Raw genomic sequence first — 22781 nt, 5'->3', positions numbered from 1 at the left:
ATCAAAAAGGCCATCCAGGCTGGGTGTGGTAGCTCACACCTGTAATCTCAACACTTTGGGAAGCCAAGGAGGGTGGATCACCTGAGGTCAGTAGGGTGGATCACCTGAGGTCAGGAGTTCGAGACCAGCCTGGCCAACATGGTGAAACCCATCGTTACTAAAAATACAAAAATTAGCCAGGCGTGGTGGCTGATGCCTGTAATCTCATCTACTCAGGAGGCTGAGGCAGGAGAATTATTGGAACCTGGGAGGCGGAGGTTGCAGTGAGCCGAGATCACGCCAATGCACTCCAGCCAGGGGGCCCAGACAACATCAAGACTCAGTCTCAAAAAAAAAAAAAAAAAAAAAAAAAAAAGCCATCCGGAGGCCAAACTCCTTATCTGGGGAATTTAGAGGTAATCAGACTTCCCTAGTATCTAAAGCTGACATCTAATTTCGGGCCTTACATCTCTGAAATGCCATGCCGAAACTAATTTTACAATCCTAAGCTCCCACCAAAAGGTCTGTAAATGCTCTTAAGGAAAATCCACAAAGGTGCGCTCAGTCCTCTTGCTGAGGCACCCCACTGCACCCTTTTGCAGCATTATTCCTTTCTAATAAACTCTCCTTTTTCAAACCTATACTGTTGTCAGAACATTCCTTTTACCAACCTGTGAGTCAACCGCTTCCTGGTGCCAGGGCTCTGACACCTCTCCTATCAGAAACAATCATCATGAATGAGGGGCCTGAAATCTCATTGTCTGAATGCAAAGATCTGGTGAGTTTCAGTTCTTTGATACTTTTTGAGAGAACTTGGGGTCCTTTCCTGAGGAAGGCACTCAGATAAAACCAATGTAGATTTCAAGCACTAAGACCAGAAGGGTCAATTTTTATGTTTATCCAAAAAAACTATCTATGGGACTATTGGGCAGGTTTCAATGGAACAGTAAGTTCAGCTTAAGATCCTAATAACTGTTGAAGAAAGAAGCTACAAAAAAGAAAAAGGATGGGCTAAAATTAGCCAGATGGTATTGAATTGAAAGCTAACATACCATTATAAACTTATTATTTTTAATAAATAGATAGAGATGAAATCTTACCAAAAACCCGAAGTAGCCTAAAGGATTTCCAAATGGCTGAAGCTGGCACAAGCTGAGCAATAAAATATTTATAATATTGGACTGTAGACCAAAAATAAAATTCTAAGGCCCCCAACCATCTGAATGGACTTCCTTTTCTGCCAGGGCTCTTAAAATTTAACCTGAAAGAATAGTTCAAGCCCTGAAGGGAAGACGGGATCAGATATGCCTCATTATACCTCTTGGCATTAACAACACAGACTTTGTCTGATAGGAATCATTTTACAACCTATTCTCCCTGAAGCCTGCCAGCAAAAAGCTTCACCCGCGTAGTAAAACTCTGGTCTTCACAACTTATTATGGCAACCCAGACATTCCCTTCTACTGATCTCAGGTTTTTAGACAAACTCAACCAATTGTCAACCAGAAAATATTTAAATTTACCTATAGTCTGGAACCTCCCTCCTCACTTTCTCCCTCACTGCCCCCCGCCAGTTTCAAATTGTCTTGCCTTTCTGGACCAAACTAATGTGTTTCTTAAATGTATTTGATTAATGTCTCCTGCCATCCTAAAATGTATGAAACCCAGCTGTACCCCGACCACCTTGGGCACATGCTCTCAGGAACTCCTGAGGGCTGTGTCACAGGCCATGGTCACTCATATTTGGCTCAGATAACATCTCTTCAAATATTTTACAGAGTTTGACTCTTTTCATCAAGATAACCATCAAATAAAATAAACGATTTTATTTGATAACCATCAAATAAAGTAAACGATTTTATTTGATAACCATCAAATAAAGTAAACGATTTTATTTGATAACCATCAAATAAAGTAAAAGATTTTATTTGATAACCATCAAATAAAGTAAACGATTTTATTTGATAACCATCAAATAAAGTAAACGATTTTATTTGATAACCATCAAATAAAGTAAACGATTTTATTTGATAACCATCAAATAAAATGAACATTTATGAATGTATATGAATACAAATAAATAGAGAAGGATTCTATCTTCTTTTTAAATGTAAAATGCAAGAGGGAAATAGAAAAATCACCATTTAGAAAGTACCACTTTAATAAGTAATGAAGACAGCATTCACTGGCCAACATTAAAATTAGTAAAATTTTAAGGAGAAATAGAATTTCAGACTCACAAAGCATGTACCCAATATATTCATTAATTACAAAGAGAATGATACTAACTTTAGAGTGGTGAAACCTGGAGAAACTACCTTGCACAAGTGATCCAAGACAACATCACCAGTAATAAGATAGATCAATATCATGATCTCTGGAATGCAAATGCACTGAGAAAACACTGCCATTTCTATGGTACTCTTGCCAAGAAAACACAATTCAGTCCATTCACGAGGAAACAGCAAACTCAAACTAAGAAACAATTGAAAAACGCAACTGATCAATGCTCTTCAAAAGTGTCAAGATCATAAAACACAAAGAATAAAAGAGGAAAATGTTATAGACTGTAGGAGACTGAAGAAAATAAAAAAGTATATGCAATGTGGGATCCTAAGTGGGATTCTGGAACGGAAATGAAATAATCGTAGTTAAAAAAAAACAGGTGAAATTTGAATAAGTTCTTTAGTTTAGTTAATACTATTATACTGATTTTAATTTTCTGGTCTTGATCATTACACAGTGGTTATACAAGATGTTAACATTTGGTGAAAATATGCAAGAGATATATGGAAACTGTCTTTACTATTTCTGCAATTTTCTGTAAGTCTAAAATTAGAACCCTCCCACAAAAGGCTTACCATCAAAATAGAAGGTAGTCTTACTCTAACAGACAGAAAATAGATGACTTACTGCTACACTGTATTACTCTTGTTTGGATGAACCTCTGAAATGCAGTATTATCTGGAGGTGGAAAATACACAGGCCAAAATCATACCCTACCCTGGAAAAAAATACAGGAAAAAAAGACAAAAATAATTAGTTCTCCACCCTTGTCTAGCTATGCCCAATAGTTATGCCTCTCTCAAAAGCTTTCCTTTTGTCCTTTTAAAAATTTTTGCTCAACTGAAATTTTAGTCATGTGTAGAAAATAAATAATTTAAGAATGTGGTTTCAATAGCCCTTTAATTAAAAATTTCGGAAACTGTTTTTCTTTATTGTGTTATTCTTGGTTCTTATGGGTTAACATAAATATTTTCTTTGATTTTTTTCTTTTTTGAATTTTGGTAAATGGCACAGCCAGGATGGATAAAAACAAGGTTGGACATTTTAAATAAATATATTAAAACCATCCCTGCACTGTAGAAGTACAAGTGTACTTATTTAACCTAGGAGTTTCTGAAAGTCATGTGTCCCTATAAGCAGGTAAAAACTGTATAAAAAAATACCAACTTATTGCCAAAATTTGTTTAAATTAATCCTCCAGAAAGGAGAACTAAAAACAATGCCTGAATATTACCAGGAGGTAGATGAAAAGAAAAGTTATGAAATGTAAATCACTTTTACAACTGTGCATGAAGAAATGCATTATAAACATTTAGGGTTAATTTAGGAAAAACTAAATCATTCAAAGACACTGGGTGACAAATTCTTATAAAAATTTGTCATGTATGAACAATAAAATGATGAAATCCAAGACTAATTGGTATAATAAAAAGAAACATTCAAATTAGTCAAAGTTTTTCTACATTTTATTTGAATTCTATTCAAACGTATTTGATAACACTAACTTAATTGTATTGTTATTGCTGTGCTTATTCTCTTTCTGAACTTAATTCTAGCTTAGCATTATCAGTTGTTAACTTAGCATGATGCCCAGCACAAAGCAGACACTCTATGTATACTTAAAGCAATAAATAGACCTGGCTCAGTGGCTCATGCCTGTAATCCCAGCACTTTGGGAGGCTGAGGCGGGCAATCACGAGGTCAGGAGATGGAGACCATCCTGGCTAACACAGTGAAACCCCATCTCTACTAAAAATACAAAAAGTTAGCCAGGCGTAGTGGTAGGCACTTGTAGTCCCAGCTACTCAGGAGGCTGAGGCAGGAGAATGGCGTGAACCCGGGAGGCGGAGCTTGCAGCGAGCTGAGATGGCACCACTGCACTCCAGCCTGGGTGACAGAGTGAGACTCTGTCTCAAAAAAAAAAAAAAAAAAAAAAAAAAAGCAGTAAATAAAAATAATATATTAGTCATTTCGGATATTTCACAATACAGTTCCTACTTCTTAAATCTTTTATTTTCCAAAACTACTGCTATTTTCTTAATAAAAATTATGTATATTCTCTGGGATAATTTGGAAAACTGAAAAAGCAAACTCAACAACCGCCTTAGACATAGCTACTACCAGTGTTTGGAAAATATGCTTTTAGTATTTACCACTTTATCTCTATATATATATCAGGTACATTAAATTTGCTTTTGCATTTACATGGCATATTGGGTATATTCTTCTTGTCATTTAAGATTTTTCTGTGATTTTATCTGTAATTATTCCACAACACTCCATTATACAGAGGTACCATATTCAAGCACATGTTTTTGATTATTTACATCACTATAAATATTAGGACATAATATATAAGTGGGCAATAAATGTTCTTGAGGCTAAAATTGAGATCAATTACAATTGTGTATTTTGAATTCATCCCACATAGAAGAATTCCTCAGTTCAATGCTGTGCACACGATAAGATTTTACTATTTATTGTCAAATTATTCTCCAGGAGTGCTGTGCATTTCCACCAGCATGGATAGGAGTTTCTGCCTCTCAGTAAAATGCATGTTTTAATGTTATTTGTAATAGATTATTTCAGTCTAACTAATATAAGCTTATTTTAAATGATATTATAGAGGAAAGCTACATAATAATATGAACCATTCAAATAATTAAGAATGTATATGAAAATATAGAAAGAGGGAATATATCTGATCCATAAAGCTCACTTATATAAGCCATTATTTTAACAGTCACTTTCATATTCTATGTAAAAGAAGTAGGAACAGTACTTAACTACTCTCCTTGTGGTAAAAAACAATAGTTGAATACATATCTACACAACTGCCACACAATTTTTAAAAAAGCCTTTAAAACTGTAAAAACAACAGCAGAAAAGGAAGTGGACACTTCAAGGAAATTTATTAATATTCCCTCCACGTTATTCAGTAACTATAATATATATATATATATATAGTAACTATGATATATATATACAGTAATATATATACAGTGACTATAATATATATAGAATGATTCCTATTATTTCATAGCTTTCCTCTATAATATCATTTAAAATAAGCTTATATTAGTGAGATCGAAATAATCTATTACAAATAATATTAAATATATTATTTTTATATATTTAAATATAATATATATAATATATCAAATATATAATATATTAAATATTAAATATATACACACATATATATATGGATGAATGAAGAAAATGCAGAATATTATTGGAATAGAACAAAATGAAATATTATTTATCCATAAAAAGAAGGAAAGCTTGTCACTTGCAACAACAAGGATGAATCTGGAGGATGTTATGCTAAATTGAATAAACCAGACACAAAAAGGCAATTACTGTGTAATCTCACATATGGAATCTACTAAAAACATCTGTGGATTTTAAATAGATTACTTTCTTACAGGGATATTTGCTACTGTTGTCATATGTATTACATCTGTGCACATTATCAATCCCATAGTACAATATTATGCTACTCTTTTTTTTCTAAAAGTTTTATAGCTTAATGTTTTACTTGCAAGTCCATGATGAATTATGAGTTAGTTTTGGTATAAAGTATGACGTTTAAGTCTACATTCATTCTTTTGGCCTATGGACATCCAAATACCCCGGAATGATTTGTGAAAAAGGATATCCTTCCTGCATTGAATATTTTTGTGTGTATGTGTCTTTGTCAAAATTTAGTTGGGCAAATTTGAGTCTACTTCTGGGTTCTCTATTCTGTTTTATTGACTTATGTGTTTATATCATTGCCAATATTGCCCCGTCTTGATTAATATAGCTATGTAAGAAGCATTAATATAGAGTGGAAGGATTTCTTCTGTTATTGTTCTTTGTCCAGATTGTTTTAGGTATATTTCATAATATACCAAAGATCTGTATATTTTATAATGGTTAGAAAAAGCTTTTGTATATGCACAAAAACCTGGCTGGAATTTTGATAAAAATTTCATTAAAACTGTAGATTAATTTGTAGAGCTTTGACATCTTTACTGTGAATCTTTGAGTCTTCCTGTCTATGAACGTAGTATGTCTTTTCATTTACTTAGGTCTTCTTTCAGTTCTTGAGCATTTTATAATTTTGAGTATATATGTATATCCTGTACATGTTTATTAGGTCTATTTCTATGTATTTCATTTCTCTGAAGCAACTGTAAGTGGTACTATATATTTAATTTTGGTTTCTACATGTTCTGTTTCAGTAGATAGAAATGCAGTTTATTTTTATTAGTTGATATTTTGCTACAGCCTTATTGAACTCTGTTATTAGTTTTGGGAGTTTGTTCTTTTGTATATTCCCATGTCTTCTGCAAAACAAAACAACACAAAACAAAAAAACAAACAAAAAAAAAGTTGTATTTTTTCCTTTCAAATATAAATGTGGGTTTTTAATTTTTTTGTTTGTTTTACCTTATTGCAGTGGGTAAGACTTTCAGTACTATGTTGAAAAAGTATAGTGAGACTGTATATCCTTGACTGGTTCTCAATCTTAGAGGTAAATAATTTAATATTTTACATTAAAGATAATGTCGTTACAGGGATTTTGTAGATGTTCTTTATCAAGTCAAAGTAGTTTTCATTCATGCCTAACTTACTGTTTTTATCATTAAAATATATTGACTTTTGTCAAATGCTTTTTCTACACCGAATAATATAATTTTTATTCTGAAGATTGTTGACATGGAAGGTAACATTGATTGATTTCAAGTGTTAAACCAACTTTACCTACCTGAAGAAAATCCCAGTTAATCATGCCGTGCAATTCTTTTTGTATATTGTTAGATTCAATTTTCTAAGTTTTGTTGAGTATTAGGATATCTAACTTCCTGAGATAACTTTATCTATATTTTTCTTTTTATATTGTCTTTGTTTGGACTGAATATCAGGATAATATTTGCTTCATAAAATGTTCCCTAATCTTCTATTTTCTGAAAGAGATTGTGTAAAATTAGTATTAATTATTCCTTAAATGTTTGACAGATTCTTCAGTTAAACCATTTAGAATCTGGAGATTTCTTTTATTGAGAAGATTTTGAATGAAAAATTCCAGTTTTTTGGTTATAGCTTCATTCATATTATCTATTTCATCTTTGATGAGTTTTTGCAGTTTTTGGATTTAAGGAATTGGTCCATTTTGTTTCTAAGTTGTCAAATTTGTGAATGTAATTTAAAAAATTATTCCTTTATGTTCCTTATAATGGTTGCAGGATCTGTAGTGATAACTCCTTTTATTCTTAATACTGGTGACTTGTTTATTCTCTATTTTTGTCAATATTACTAAATAGAGTTTAATCAATTTTATTGAATCTTTCAAAGAACCAGCATGTAGTTTCATTGATTTTCTCTATTGAGTCTCTTTAAGTCATTCTATTGATTTTTGGGTCTCATCTATATTATTTCCTTTCATTTTTTTCCCTTTGGGCTAAAATAACCAATAAAATAGATCTTCCCTTTCTAGTCACTCAATGTCATATCTTATGTCAGTGGGACATTAGATGATTGATTTGACACCTTTTCTTTTTCGTAACATAAGTATTATTACTATAAATTTTTCTCTCAGCGTGGTTTTAACTGCATCCTACATGTTTTAGTATGTTGTATTTTCATTCTCAATTACGTATTTTAAAATTTCTGAGACTATTTTAGGCATGTATTATTGATTTTGTTTGTTTTTATTTCTAAGTATCTCAAGATTTTCGTGTTATCTTATGTTTTCAATTTGTAGTTTGATTCCATTAGGCCAGAGTATAATTTCAATCTTTAACATTTGTTGAGGTTTATTTTAAGCTCCAGGATATTGTCTTTCTTGGTGAATCTTCCATGAAATTTCTTTTTTTTAAAGATGCATCCTCATGTTATTCGAGTTTTTTATAATATTAACCAGAACTGTAGTTACCTTATAATTAAAAAAATATATCTAAGAAGTTACGTGAAGTGTGAATGTCTAATCATGGCTTAATGTGTTATGCGTCTAAAGAGTTCAGCTTACTTCTAGAATCACAGTGCAGTGTCAGGAAGAAAAAAGTCCCTAGACTGAGAAAAAAGGATTTGGGATGCTGTCTTTGAACTTGAGCTCTGCCTTTTGTTACCTCTTTGATTTGGGGCAATTCATTTAAACACTTTGAAGTTTGGTTTCCTTCCCTTTAAAATAATAACTATATAGGGCTCGATGTAGAAATATTCCCTAAAAATATTGAAATATTCCTTAATACCTCTCTAAAGATAAAATGAAACTTCATGTGATAAACTAGTAAACTCTCCAAACTATATACTATTCCATTGTAAAATGTATTATTTCAGTGGGAAATGTATTTTGATGACATAAATGCAGAATTTTGAGGGGACAGGTAGAAATTGGGAGAAAGGTAGTGATTTTTTTTACCTCATTGACTTGTTTATCAAATTGTATCCTTATAGTCAAAAGTAACGTATTGAATTTGAACCCTTTATCAAATAATGGTCTGAGATTCAGAGGAAAACTAGGCACAATTCCTGCTGAAAGAGGCTCACATGGTGGGGGAGATGAAAACAGAAATAAACAAGAAACTGGCTTAATATGGTCATAGACATATGAAAAGCAGAAGGTGGTTGCAAACCAGGCAGCTAGAAGAGTAGTAACATGATTAGCCTTAATATGGGATTTCATTGAAAACTCAGAGGGAGCTCAGATCTGCCCAGGGTTGAGTCATTATTCTCATGCTGAGCACTCAGCCCCTGAAAGGGACATTACAACGAAGCACAACTTAATCCTCATATTCCAACTTTGAAACTTGAGAGTGTTAGTTCCAGAGTTTGTCCAGTTCTAGTATTTCCTCTAATTTTTGTATAATTCCTTGCTTTTTTGTTACTTTCACTAAATTATGCTTATTAGTAGAGACAAAAGGATGTGTACATTTATTACAGAAAAGGCTACAACACATACTTTTCACATATAAGTTGTTTGGTACATTTTAAATTTAATATATAAATAAACTATATAAAGAAAGTTCCTTTTTTTAAGTCAAAATTTCATCAATAAACTGATATGATAGCACATATAAAGCACCTCTATTTAAAATGTTTGCTAACTTAATCTTTTTGTTCTTTTATTGTACTTGCTGATTTACTAAACAATGAATTAGAAGGGAAACCAGTAGCTTGGGATCCTCAATCAACTCACTATGTGGCATGGGGCACAGCAAGTCTAATATTCTTTATCTAATTTCTCTACTTATGAAGCATGTTTTGTTGCTGGTGGTAGTAATAACTGTCAGGAAGATCCAGCTAAAATAACCTGCCATCTGTAAACAAATCTATAGGTATGATAAAATAAAAACTATTCCCCTCTACTTTACTAACTCCGTATCTCCATCCAGAGGTGCCAAACAGTAACTTCAAGCAATAAAACCTGCAAGAAAAACAAGTTTTGCTTCAAAGTTCATCATTCTTGTATTCATGAATGTGTTATGGCAAATACTTATTATCTATTGCTCATAAAAGAGCGTAAGTAAATAGTGTTTATTTTCTAAATTACAATATATGATACTACACTAAGTAACATGTTGATAGAAATTTGGAGAGGGTTGAGAGAAAAATAATTCTTTACTTTTTAGATGAAATTTTTGACTTAATTTAGTTTTGATTCATTTTTTTAAATAAAAAAAGGTCAGAAAATTAGATATTTATATCATATTCCCTAACTAAATATGTAAATATTTATTCTTCATTTTATTGTTGTTGACTTAGTACAAGAAGAAATTATGACTGCAAAAAAATATATTATTTAAAATGAAGTTACTAAAGAAAAATTATGTTGAGTTTTGGCAATAACTTATAGTTTTAATAAGTTATCTGTGTAAGTTATTAAAGGAACCACCCAGTACTTTTTTTCTCTCTCAATTCTTGTCAATTTTTGTAAAATACTACTTTTTGTTGCTTAAATGTTCCTTTGCTCCTTAAAAAATACCCAACAGAAGTCAAAAATTTCTACCTTTGACAATGAATATAGTTGCTATGGAAATGATTATGACTTTTGGTGTAAAAAGGATACGAAAGCTAGAGAATTTGAAATGTTAAGAAATAAATACCCTATTATCATGCAAAACTGCTTGGTAAAAAGAGACATTTAAAAAGTATATACTGAATTAATCAGAATTGTTTCTAAATAGATTTCCAAAATCCTTTTCTTGTTTTTTTGGAAAAGTTTTGTCAGCTTCAAAACTTTTAATAAAGTGCAGTAAGCAAATGGAAGCTTTGTGTATGACCACTCCACACTGACTCATGAATTACGTGTAAAGCAAAGAGGTTTTAAAAATTGAATTTTGTATAAGGTGTAAGGAAGGGATCCAGTTTCAGCTTTCTACATATGGCTAGCCAGTTTTCCCAACACCATTTATTAAATAGGGAATCCTTTCCCCATTGCTCGTTTTTCTCAGGTTTGTCAAAGATCAGATAGTTGTAGATATGCGGTGTTATTTCTGAGGCCTCTGTTCTGTTCCATTGATCTCTGTTTTGGTACCAGTACCATGCTGTTTTGGTTACTGTAGCCTTGTAGTATAGTTTGAAGTCAGGTAGTGTGATGCCTCCAGCTTTGTTCTTTTGGCTTAGGATTGACTTGGCGATGCGGGCTCTTTTTTGGTTCCATATGAACTTTAAAGTAGTTTTTTCCAATTCTGTGAAGAAAGTCATTGGTAGCTTGATGGGGATGGCATTGAATCTGTAAATTACCTTGGGCAGTATGGCCATTTTCACGATATTGATTCTTCCTACCCATGAGCATGGAATGTTCTTCCATTTGTTTGTATCATCTTTTATTTCCTTGAGCAGTGGTTTGTAGTTCTCCTTGAAGAGGTCCTTCACATCCCTTGTAAGTTGGATTCCTAGGTATTTTATTCTCTTTGAAGCAATTGTGAATGGGAGTTCACTCATGATTTGGCTCTCTGTTTGTCTGTTGTTGGTGTATAAGAATGCTTGTGATTTTTGTACATTGATTTTGTATCCTGAGACTTTGCTGAAGTTGCTTATCAGCTTAAGGAGATTTTGGGCTGGGACAGTGGGGTTTTCAAGATGGATTAAACACTTAAACGTTAGACCTAAAACCATAAAAACCCTAGAAGAAAACCTAGGCATTACCATTCAGGACATAGGCATGGGCAATGACTTCATGTCTAAAACACCAAAAGCAATGGCAACAAAAGACAAAATTGACAAATGGGATCTAATTAAACTAAAGAGCTTCTGCACAGCAAAAGAAACTACCATCAGAGTGAACAGGCAACCTACAAAATGGGAGAAAATTTTCGCAACCTACTCATCTGACAAAGTGCTAATATCCAGAATCTACAATGAACTCAAACAAATTTACAAGAAAAAAACAAACAACCCCATCAAAAAGTGGGCAAAGGACATGAACAGACACTTCTCAAAAGAAGACATTTATGCAGCCAAAAAACACATGAAAAAATGCTCATCATCACTGGCCATCAGAGAAATGCAAATGAAAACCACAATGAGATACCATCTCACACCAGTTACAATGGCAATCATTAAAAAGTCAGGAAACAACAGGTGCTGGAGAGGATGTGGAGAAATAGGAACACTTTTACACTGTTGGTGGGACTGTAAACTAGTTCAACCATTGTGGAAGTCAGTGTGGCGATTCCTCAGGGATCTAGAACTGGAAATACCATTTGACCCAGCCATCCCATTAACTGGGTATATACCCAAAGGACTATAAATCATGCTGCTATAAAGACACATGCACAAGTATGTTTACTGCGGCACTATTCACAATAGCAAAGACTTGGAACCAACCCAAATGTCCAACAATGATAGACTGGATTAAGAAAATGTGGCACATATACACCATGGAATACTATGCAGCCATAAAAAATGATGAGTTCATGTCCTTTGCAGGAACATGGATGAAATTGGAAATCATCATTCTCAGTAAACTATCGCAAGAACAAAAAACCAAACACCGCATATTCTCACTCATAGGTGGGAATTGAACAATGAGAACACACGGACACAGGAAGGGGAACATCACACTCTGGGGACTGTTGTGGGGTGGGGGGAGGCGGGAGGGATAGCATTGGGAGATATACCTAATGCTAGATGATGAGTTAGTGAGTGCAGCGCACCAGCATGGCACATGTATACATATGTAACTAACTTGCACAATGTGCACATGTACCGTAAAACTTAAAGTATAATAATAAAAAAAAATAATAAAAAAATAAAAAAAGAGAAATTTTCAGGGAGAGAAATTATAAAAAAAAATAAATAAAAATAAAAAAATAAAAAATAAATTGAATTTTTTTTCCTAATAAAAAGCTGAATACTGAGATTACCTGGCATGGTTAATACACAGTTTAAAAATAATTATTATTTTCTACTGTAGGTAATGATTTTACTTTTCCCCTTCATGTTGTCATATTTTTCTCCTTCCTATCTCAGTTAAATACATGATTAGGAAATAATGTTAATATAGTAGCTTCTTTTTAATTATTTGTGCTCAATTATAAACTGAAAAAGTAAATAGAGTCCCTTTTTATACTATTCCGAGGCACTATCTACTAAATATATTTTTGAGAATTGAAAGAATATTCATGTGTGAATGCATACACATTATTATAAGCCTTTTTATTTTATGTTTTCATTTTTTTCTTAACTATGCATAATGCATCTCTCCATGTTAGTATATAAGGATTTACCACACTGTTTCAAATGATTATAAAGTATTAAAACTACAGATACTTTGTAGTTACTTAATCAATACATGATTAAAATACACTGAGAATTTCAAAATGTAAATAGTACGCGTATGTAAAATAAACATATTACATAAGTAGATGCACATGCATATGGAAAACGAAAAGGAATTTTTTTTTTTTTTTTTTTTTTTTTAGGATTTTTAGTATTTTAATACAGCACAAATCAGTGTGTCTGGTTCATTTTAGTTCCTTCACTGCCAAACCAGGGGGCAGGGACTACAGTTTATCTGCCTTCTCTTTGTCAGTGATGACCAGGGTGTAAAGGTATTTGCTGTGTCAAACTTTAAACTTCACATTGTCCTTATTTTTCTTGATCTTGACGGATTTGGCATCCTTTCATCGGACTGTGAGCAGAAAATCCTTGATTTCCTCAATTTTCCGAGGCATGGCGACGAGGCGAACTGGGAGCTGGCACGGACCGGGACAGCGAGCAGCAACCGGGAAAAAAAAAAAAGGAATTTTTACAATCATTTTGTGAAGTCTCTGTTTATGCACATACTTTTTGAATCCATGGAAGTTATTTTAATTGGATAAGTTTCTAAATATTAAATCACTTAAGGAAAATAAATATATTTTTAGAATTTTAATTAAATTTGCAAAATCGACCTGCACAAAGACTGAAACAGTTCATGTCATTTACTGTCAGTAGTGAGAAATTTTAATATTTTGGTAAGTGTGAGGCATTTTGTTGAATGTCAGACATGAATTTGTTAATAAAACAGACGTAGGCTGGGCGCAGTGGCTCATGTCTGTAATCTCAGCACATTAGGAGGCTGAGGTAGGAGGATGGATCATTTAAGCCCAGGAGGTAGAGACTGCATTAAGTTATGATCATGCCCCTGCACTCCAGCCTGGATGACAGAGCAAGGCCCTGTCTCAAAAAACAAAACAAAACAAAACAAAACAACACAAAACAACAACTAAAAAAAATAAAATAGGCACATAATGTATACTTAAGGGAAAGGCAGCTTCATAAAAATGTCAAAAACGTTGATACAGTTACAATGGAAAAATATAAGTTATTGTTGAAATATGTTAAGAGTTCTGAAAAAAAAAGATTCTGCGATGGATCTTAGGGAATCCAATTTAAGTCTTCCATTAATGTACTATGCTTTTGTTATTATTTTTTCCTTTATGTCCTGTGAAGCTTCCCTTAGAGTCATGCTCAGTTTGCTGGAATACCCTGAGAATGTGGGAAAATTATAAAATTTCTAAAACTTTGTAATTTCAGACCCACAAACATGAGTAGTGATGACCTTCAATAAATCAGTGAAATAGCATAGTAAAGTCAAAGATTAAGTAAACTGAGCTTAACTCCTGCCACAGTTAGAGAAGTGAACATTATTTCTTTTGGTTATGTTTTTCTTCACATGGCAATATCATTTGCAATTGCTCTTCCCATAACCATGAAAATATATCCCAATGATAGGTAAATGAACACAATCAGGGGCAATGCAACTTGTGCCTCAGTGCAGAGGTGCCCACATTCAGTGATCTCATATGAACAATCATTAAAATCAGTTGGCATAATTGAGGAATGGATGTCCCTTAATCAGCAGTTTCGGATGAGAAGCCATTGATAACAGTAATGTGCTTGTCAGAAATGTGATAAGCACAAACTTATGAAAGATGTTATTTCTGAAAGATCAGTCACTATTTTAATTATTCTTGCACAGGATAAAAATAAGCAAATTTTATATTAACAAAGAAATAAATGCTAAAATTTAAAGCCCTTAGCAAGACCTACTGATTCAAATCTCAAGCATCTGTTTTTCAGTAATTATTTTAATTTCTGTATTTTACCAATATATTTTGTCCAATTAACATTTAAAATTACTTTTGGGTCAGGAAGCTTTCAAAATCTTGGTCATGATGCAATGGCTAAAGTTTCTGGTGAACTCAATATCAGTAACTATGTTGTATAACCCCAATTTAGACGTTTTGACAACGATGAATAATTCCAGTTTTTTCCAAGACAACCCTAGTCATACAAAAGGACAAATAAATGGGATTGCAGAATGTCATAGTTCAATGATGATAATAACATTAGCAAATATAATAATAACCAAATACAGTAACAACTGATATTTATTTATGATTGAAAAGGTCCAGAGTTTATGTGAAATATTGTTTTAATCAGGATAAAATAGGTTTATGTTACATTTGGATTACACACACACATGCACACACAAGCATATACACACAGAAACAAGTTCATTTCTAGCTTACATGAAATCCTTTATAGGTGTCATGAATGTAGAAAGCAGCTGACCTTCATGGAGCTGTTCAGTGGTCTGAGCTGCTGCAGTTTTGTCCTGCTGACAATGGCCACTCATGCCTCTGAAGGCGAAGAAACAGAGAATGGTGCACTAATGCCTACTGCTGTATACTTTCGTCTTGGAGAAGGCACTCTGAACTTCTGTTGTCAGCTCATTGGCTCTGCCATGTATATATGAGGAATGAAAGGAAGCAGGCACTATCTGAGGAGCGGCCATAAGCACTTTGTGTGAATTTAACGTTCGTAACAACCCAGCATAAGAAAGAAAGAAAGCTACCTCAACGAGTCAAGAAAGTTTACGATTAAAGACACGCAATTTCAGTTTTGTATCTTCTGTTGATGTCTTCACATTGAAAATGAAATTACTGCCACATATAAGTAATTAAAGAAGTATTATCCAGCAAGATCACTCATTTGAACTATGTAAATATATAAAACATATTTTTATGCCTAACAGCCTACTGAAATAGTTATAATAACAGAGCATTTAACACATACAGTAAGTGACAGTTTTGATTAAATAATATTCAGTAGATACATACATATTATAGTCATATATATAACGAAATAACACAATATTTGAAATAATTAGTAAAAATTACCTACTGAATAGCAGTTTACAAAGTACTTTCAAACCATCCTTTGGTTGATGAAAAGCAGCTAAACACAGTGATTAATAGCACAGATCTTGGAGTCTGGATTGCTTGGGGTGCATTTGGTAAACACTTAATTCTGCGTTTCTATTCTGTCTGTAAAACATCAATGATAATAGGACCTAGCTCATAAGGCCATGTGCAAATTAAATGAATGAATACATATAATGTTCTTAGAACCATGCCTGGAATATAGCAAACATACAATAAATGCTATTTTTGTAGCTATTATATAAATCTTCCAGTTGCTTCTAGGGAAGCTTCTAGTTGCTTCTAGTTAATATTATAAGATTGGCTCTTGTACTCATGAAGATATCCAGGCTCAGAAAGTGGAGTAATGAGCCCAAACATCACTTACTGTTGTACTTCCATGTCTAGAAGTAGAGGCAATAAGTAAAACTCAAGGATTAGCAGCTTTCCAAACATTTCTCTATTCAAGTCGTAAAAATCAGCAAAATTTTCATGCATGTTTTTAGTGTTTAGGTGGTGATCGTCTGGGACCTGTGGTTGCATATAAAAGACTCATGATTGAATGAAAACTAGTTTTCCATTTTTCTAATACCTCATAGGAGTTTATTCACATAATCAAATTTATAATCTATGTACTGACAAGCTCATAATGTGTCTCAGTGTAAAAATCCTCATTCACATTCTTCTTACTGTTATATTCATTTTCTGGGTTCAGGCACCGGGGTGGAGTGTGAGGAGAGGCAGTGATATGCTTTAGTAAGAATAGAATATTTTCTTAGTCATACAGCTCTAGATGCAAAATATACTTCTGTCATTAACCAGCTGAACAACAATAGAAATGGCTTTTTAAAAGTTAGCCCTCCTCTGTAGAACAAAAATTAAAATAGCTTTCCCATATGTTATTGTAGGAATGAAAAGGTAGTTTAAGTTTCCCTTGGTCAACTTAAAAATGATTCAATGTATGCATCTTGTGTTGGAACACAGATTTTCATGAATTTATGGAATGAACAAGTGAAAGTCAAACTATAATTACCCATTAAGGGAAATAATCTACTACTGTTATTAAAACAATAGAATCTTAGGAGTGTTTTATGACTCTGGCATATCTTGTCCTTTGAATGAATTAATCTAAGGTCAGTTAAAGGAAAAATAATATTTGGCTTTCTTTACTTTTTTAGTTAATGAACACAGAGGTTTCTTGAAACACCAGAGTAAATTTCAGCCAAAAAAGAGCAACTGGCTATTAGCTAATGCAATCTGCCCAATTGCAAAGTAAAATGTCTACAGAAAATCAAAAATTATGGAAATGAAAAGAGACTGTGAAAACTAAGACTAACAAATAATTTAATTTAGATTTTGGAGTCTCCATCCACTGAAAGGCATTTAGCACCAAATTTTAAAAAATGCAGAAGCCTAATTAATATATCATTGTGGGGAGCAAGAAAATATTCTGTACTTCTCCCATTTCTAACCATGCTTCGGAGACAGAGACCTGTGTTTTTATTCATTCCACTGACAGAAATTCCCCTTTCAGATGTAACCTACCTACATCTCTTATATATTTCAGATAACAATATGGCAAAAATATAATAGTTGAGGGTGCACTGAAAACTAAAAGTTATAAAATGTACCACATAAATATATACATCTACAATACGCTGCAAAACTTAAAAAATAAAAATTATTTAAAAAGACAAAAAAATAAAAATTTGAAGTGATTAACAGTATTGTTTTTGAAATGAAATTCTTGGACAAGATACTATGTTTTGTCTATAAAATGTAATACTGTACTTACCTCATAGAATTGAATGATGGATGCATTAATTTTAGATTTCCTTAATTCCCAGAAATGTGAGAATGACTTAGTCTTCACAGATTAAACTAAGTTTGCTGAATGTAGAATTCACAGTTGGTAGAGTTGAGGTTCAAAATTTTATGTGTTTTCTTTAATTGTCTTTCTATGTAATGTTGTACAGAAATCTGAGAAAACCTAATTTTGGAAAAAAATAATAATTATTAGTTTTAAATTCCCTGATTTTTGTGAATTCAGAACTGATTAAGTAAAGAGATACAAATGATGTGATACTAAAAGTTCACACATTGTGTTTGGACAAATAAATTGGTACAAGTAGATGAAGGAAATTGCTAGTGTGGCTTCAGATCCTTAAACTTTCCCTTACCTTTGGATCCAAGGATGCCAATATGTGTAATTTATTACTAAATACTCAGGAAAACATAAAAATATATGAAGAAAAATATGCTTTTGATTATGAAAGCCTGGAAATACACTTTTCATTGATAAAGAATAAATACAGCTGTCTAACAGAATAAAATGCAGCCACTAAAAATAATGACATAAAGAAAGAAATAGGTACATGGAAAACAATTCTTAATATGTTAAAAACAGTTCTTAAAACAGTATTCGTAACGTGATTCCATTTTTTTGCATGTCTTATTTTACTTTATTAAAAATTATAACGTGACATGTAAAATGTTTAAGGTAATTTTTCTAGGTATTGACCCTTAGTTTATCTATTTTCTTGTATTTTATTTCCTGTTTGATCTTATTATTTTTGAGACTGAACTCAAATAAAATAATTCAAGAAAAATAAAATCAACTTTTAAAATCTAATAGGGTGTTTTTGGATCTTTTGTGTTGTTTGTGGTATTGCTAGGCTGATAATTAATGCTCTCTAGGTTTACCAAAAAAAAAAAAAAAGGTATTTTTACTTATTTTCTTCTCTTTCTTTGAAACACCCTGTCCCCTAGCCCATAGAATTTTACACAGTTTCAAAGACATATTATTTGAGAACCGTTAAAGTAGCTGGCAAATAATATGTTTTAAAAGGACAAAAGCGATTTTCGTAAATGCAATAATCTTATATCTCATTTAGCATACCAAGTAGAGGGCTATTTTTGTGTGTATATGTGTGTAGGCTGTGTGTGTGTTTGTTTTCTAGTCTGCTCTTAGAACATTGGCCTCTTCTTGTTTACACTAAACATAAACCACTTTTATCATTAAAATGACACGTTTTTAAAAATTAAATCACTGTTTTGTTCTTTGCCTAACATTATTCCCTCAACACCACAGATAATTTGTATATCAGCTAAAAAACATGAAACTATAAAAACAAATTTCATGGTTTTTGCAGTTCTCGCCCTTTGAGAAAATATTGTTATCTTTTATAAATAAATGCAAGAGCTGTAATTTTCAGGAAGCACAATCACATGTTTAAGTTAAAGGTATCCCTTTTTACAACTTTTGACCTTTCTAATAGTCAAGGCAAGATATGTAATTGATGCATATTCTTTAATGGCTCTTAAAGAATGAGTAAAAGTGACCTTTTGATAGCAGCTCTACTTAGTGATTGTGCCAAGCCTGCAATTGGCATAATAGAATTTACAAAATGGGGCCCAGGTGTGTGAGTGTGTGTGAATGTGTGTGGTCTTTAAATACCCATAATGAAATTGAAATACTAACTCGACATAGGCTTTCTGCCAGCTGGTCTTAGACAAATAACATTCAGCTCTTTTATGGTTCACCTTCAGGTGACAGACCTTTAGATTGCAAGTTTTCTGTTTTGTTTTGTTTTGATTTTTAAATTTTTATTTAGCCACTGCATCAAATCTAGCAGTACAATGGGGTAACAACTGAATAATAAAATCAATTATATTGTGTTTCCCAGGCTTTTTTAGCACTTTTGCATTTATAAGCTCATTTATTTCTTATATCATAGAAGATAGATATTAATATATGCATAATTTTTCACACAGAATAAAACAGAGATTAACTTAATTCAGAGATGGATTTCAAGCTTAAATCTTGCATTTATACAGTCTGTTTTCTTTTCATTACAACATTTATTTTTACAAAAACATGTATGACTCTTAACAGAATATTGTATAAGGCCACAATTCTCCAGGGATATGAATATAATAAAATTTTCAGAGATGTTTATGAATTTTGCCTGGATTACAAAATTATATTTTACTTCACTAGACTTATCTATTTGGTTAACAATTTATCAGAAATATAATCACTCCACAATATGTCACGTTAGAGAGGCAAATAAAATTATATTTCCCTCAGTTTAGCTTCACAACTATTATAGATTAAAAGATATATATTTAAAAAGAAGAAATGAAGAAAGATAAAAGCCTTACCACTTCCTCACTTCTCAGTGTCTGACACAGAGGAGAAAACAAACAAAAAAACAAAGGCAACTTTAGTTTTTGCTCTGCTTTTGAAGAAAGTAAATAAGTCTGATGTTCTTTAAGCTAAAGTAGAGTGACAAATATATTAAGTGAGTCTCTCAGAAGTCTCTAATTGTTTTTGTTTCTGAGAAAATCAGTTTCTCTTCAAGATCTATTAAAAATCACCTATCAGAGAAAATTCAAAACTAAGAAAAATAGTTTATAAAAGTTAAAAATCACCTATAGAGGATTACTTCTGATTATAATGTTGGAAGATCTTTCCTTCTATGAAAATCTAAAATATCTGGATAAAATAGTCTCATCAAGGAGTATTGTTTTCAAGGAAGCATGGAATAGCTGAATTTCAGTTCATTCGTAGAGGAATGGAGAATGGCAATAAGTTATTGGGAGCAAATCTATGGTGTCAGTTCAGGTAAGCAGATGATATGGCTTGTTGAAAATTATCTAGGTTGAGGAGAGTCTGCTGGCTGAGCTATTAGCAAAAGTGGAGGGCAAGTAGAAATGAAAAGCATCTGAAAGAGTTGAAAATGCAGCAGTAATTTCCTCAATATGATCATTGTTCTTGCCCTAACAAGAAGAATTGAGAAAGCCATCAAAAGTTAAAAGCTGGTTATTTAAATAATTGGCAAAATTGATAAATCTCTAACAAGACTTATCCAGAAAAAAAGAGAGAACAAATAAATTAACATTGGTGTTGATAGAAGAATGTCATCATATATTTACAGACTTTAAAAGACACCAAGAGAATAATATGAACAACTTTAGGCCAACACAGTCGACAGCACAGATGAAAGGGGCACATTTTTGAAAAACAGCCAATCTGCAAAACTGACATAAGATGAGGTAGACAACCTCACAAGCCCTATATCTGTTAAATAAATTGAAGTAATAAATTTTAAAAGAAACCTCAAATGGTGAATATTATCAAACATTTTACGAAAAAATAATTGTACACAACTATTTTAGAAAATTGGCAGATGGAAAAATGTCCTAGCATGTTTAATCACCTACTGTAATCTTAATATTGTACCTTCCTGAGGACATTATAAAAATACAATTTATTAACTGATATAAACATAGTTGCCAAAATTTTTAAGAAAATTATCAAATTGATTTCTGCAATATTGTAAAAAGGAAAATACATTATAACAAGAGGTGATTACTTCAGAAATGCAAAGTTGGTTTGACATTTCAAAATCAACCCAGGTATTTCCTTACAGTCACAGAATGTAATTGATAGAAATTATATGATCTCAATAGATGCAGAAAAATTATTTTACAGAATTATTATCCATTCATGATAAAAACCCCTCAGCAAAGTAGCAACAAAAGGGAACTTTCTCATACTAAGAAAGAGCGTCTAGAGAAATCAACAATTATCTTCTACTTAATGGAACAACATGATTTCTTCCTAACGTTAGAAAAATGTCAAGCATATCTTCTGTCATAATTACTATTTAGCCTTTACTGGTGGTCTTTTCAGTGCAATAAGGCAATAAAAATAAATAAATAGTATAAATGGCATTAAAAAAGTGTAATTGATTTTATCAGTTGAACATGATTGTTTAAATAAAAATAAAAAGGAATCTACCCTAAGCCTACTAAGTCGAAGAAGTGAAATCAACAAAGGTACATGAAAAAAGTTTAAATGAAAAAGCAAGTGCAATTCTATATATACATATATTAAAAAATCCTTAGAAATTGAATAAAACTTTCAGTGGCAATAGCAGAAAAATAACATAAAACACAAGAAATAGATTTAATAAAATATGTGTAAAATATGCTTACTGATAAACACAAAGCATTAGTGAGAAAAAATTACTATAATCTAAATAAATAGATACACAATGCTTCTAGTTGTTAGATGTAATGTCATAAAAATGTTGTTTCCGCCAAAGTGACCTATAGAATCAGTGCAATTCGGATTAATATTCCAAATATATTTTTCGTAGAATTTCATAAAAATGAAGTAAGACTTATACAGTGATATAAAATCTATGGATTTATCACAATTATCTTGACAAAGAAGAATAAATTTGGAAGACTCCATACTATCATATTTTAAGTTCTACTATACACCTATGATAATTAAAATAGTATGAAGTTTCTGCAAGATTAGACAAATAGAGCAAAATTAGATATACATATATACAATAAATGATTATTTATAAAGTTGCCAATAAAAGCAAAGGTAATAGATATTCATACCTTTTGCTAGAAAAACTGAACCTATAGGAACAAAAATAAACAATGTTGAGCTATATTTCATACCATACAAAGGTGACAGGGATGATTGTAAATCTAAATGTTAAAGTGAAAACTGTATAGCTTCATAAAGGAAACATAGAATACACTAATTACTATGATTAAAATAAAACAACTTTTTTTCAGACAGAACTCACAAACACTGAAAATAAAGTAAAATAAACTAATTGATTCCTCTTTTTATCAGAAGAATAGGCCAGCTTCAGATTTAGAGAAAATGTTAATAATACATATATCTGACAAAAATCTTCATAAACGAAATACATAAAATAACTCCTGGCTGAGTGTGGTGGCTCACGACTGTAACCCTAGCACTTTGGGAGGCCAAGATGGGTGTATTGCTTGAACCCAGGA

The 22781-nt window shown here is 32.0% G+C and overlaps 1 long non-coding RNA gene and 1 pseudogene across 1 annotated transcript in view; one reads left to right on the top strand and one right to left on the bottom strand.

Annotated features, from left to right (window-relative positions):
* Nucleotides 1-22781, top strand: part of LOC101927967 (uncharacterized) — a 547036-nt gene that overhangs the window by 484478 nt on the left and 39777 nt on the right. The window lies entirely within an intron of this gene.
* Nucleotides 13178-13498, bottom strand: RPL38P2 (RPL38 pseudogene 2; annotated as a pseudogene).

The sequence above is a fragment of the Homo sapiens genome, chromosome 2, assembly GCF_000001405.40.
Source record: "Homo sapiens chromosome 2, GRCh38.p14 Primary Assembly".
NCBI lineage: Eukaryota > Metazoa > Chordata > Mammalia > Primates > Hominidae > Homo > Homo sapiens.
The sequence above is the reverse complement of the archived record's forward strand: the minus strand, read 5'-3'. Positions and strand labels throughout refer to the sequence as shown.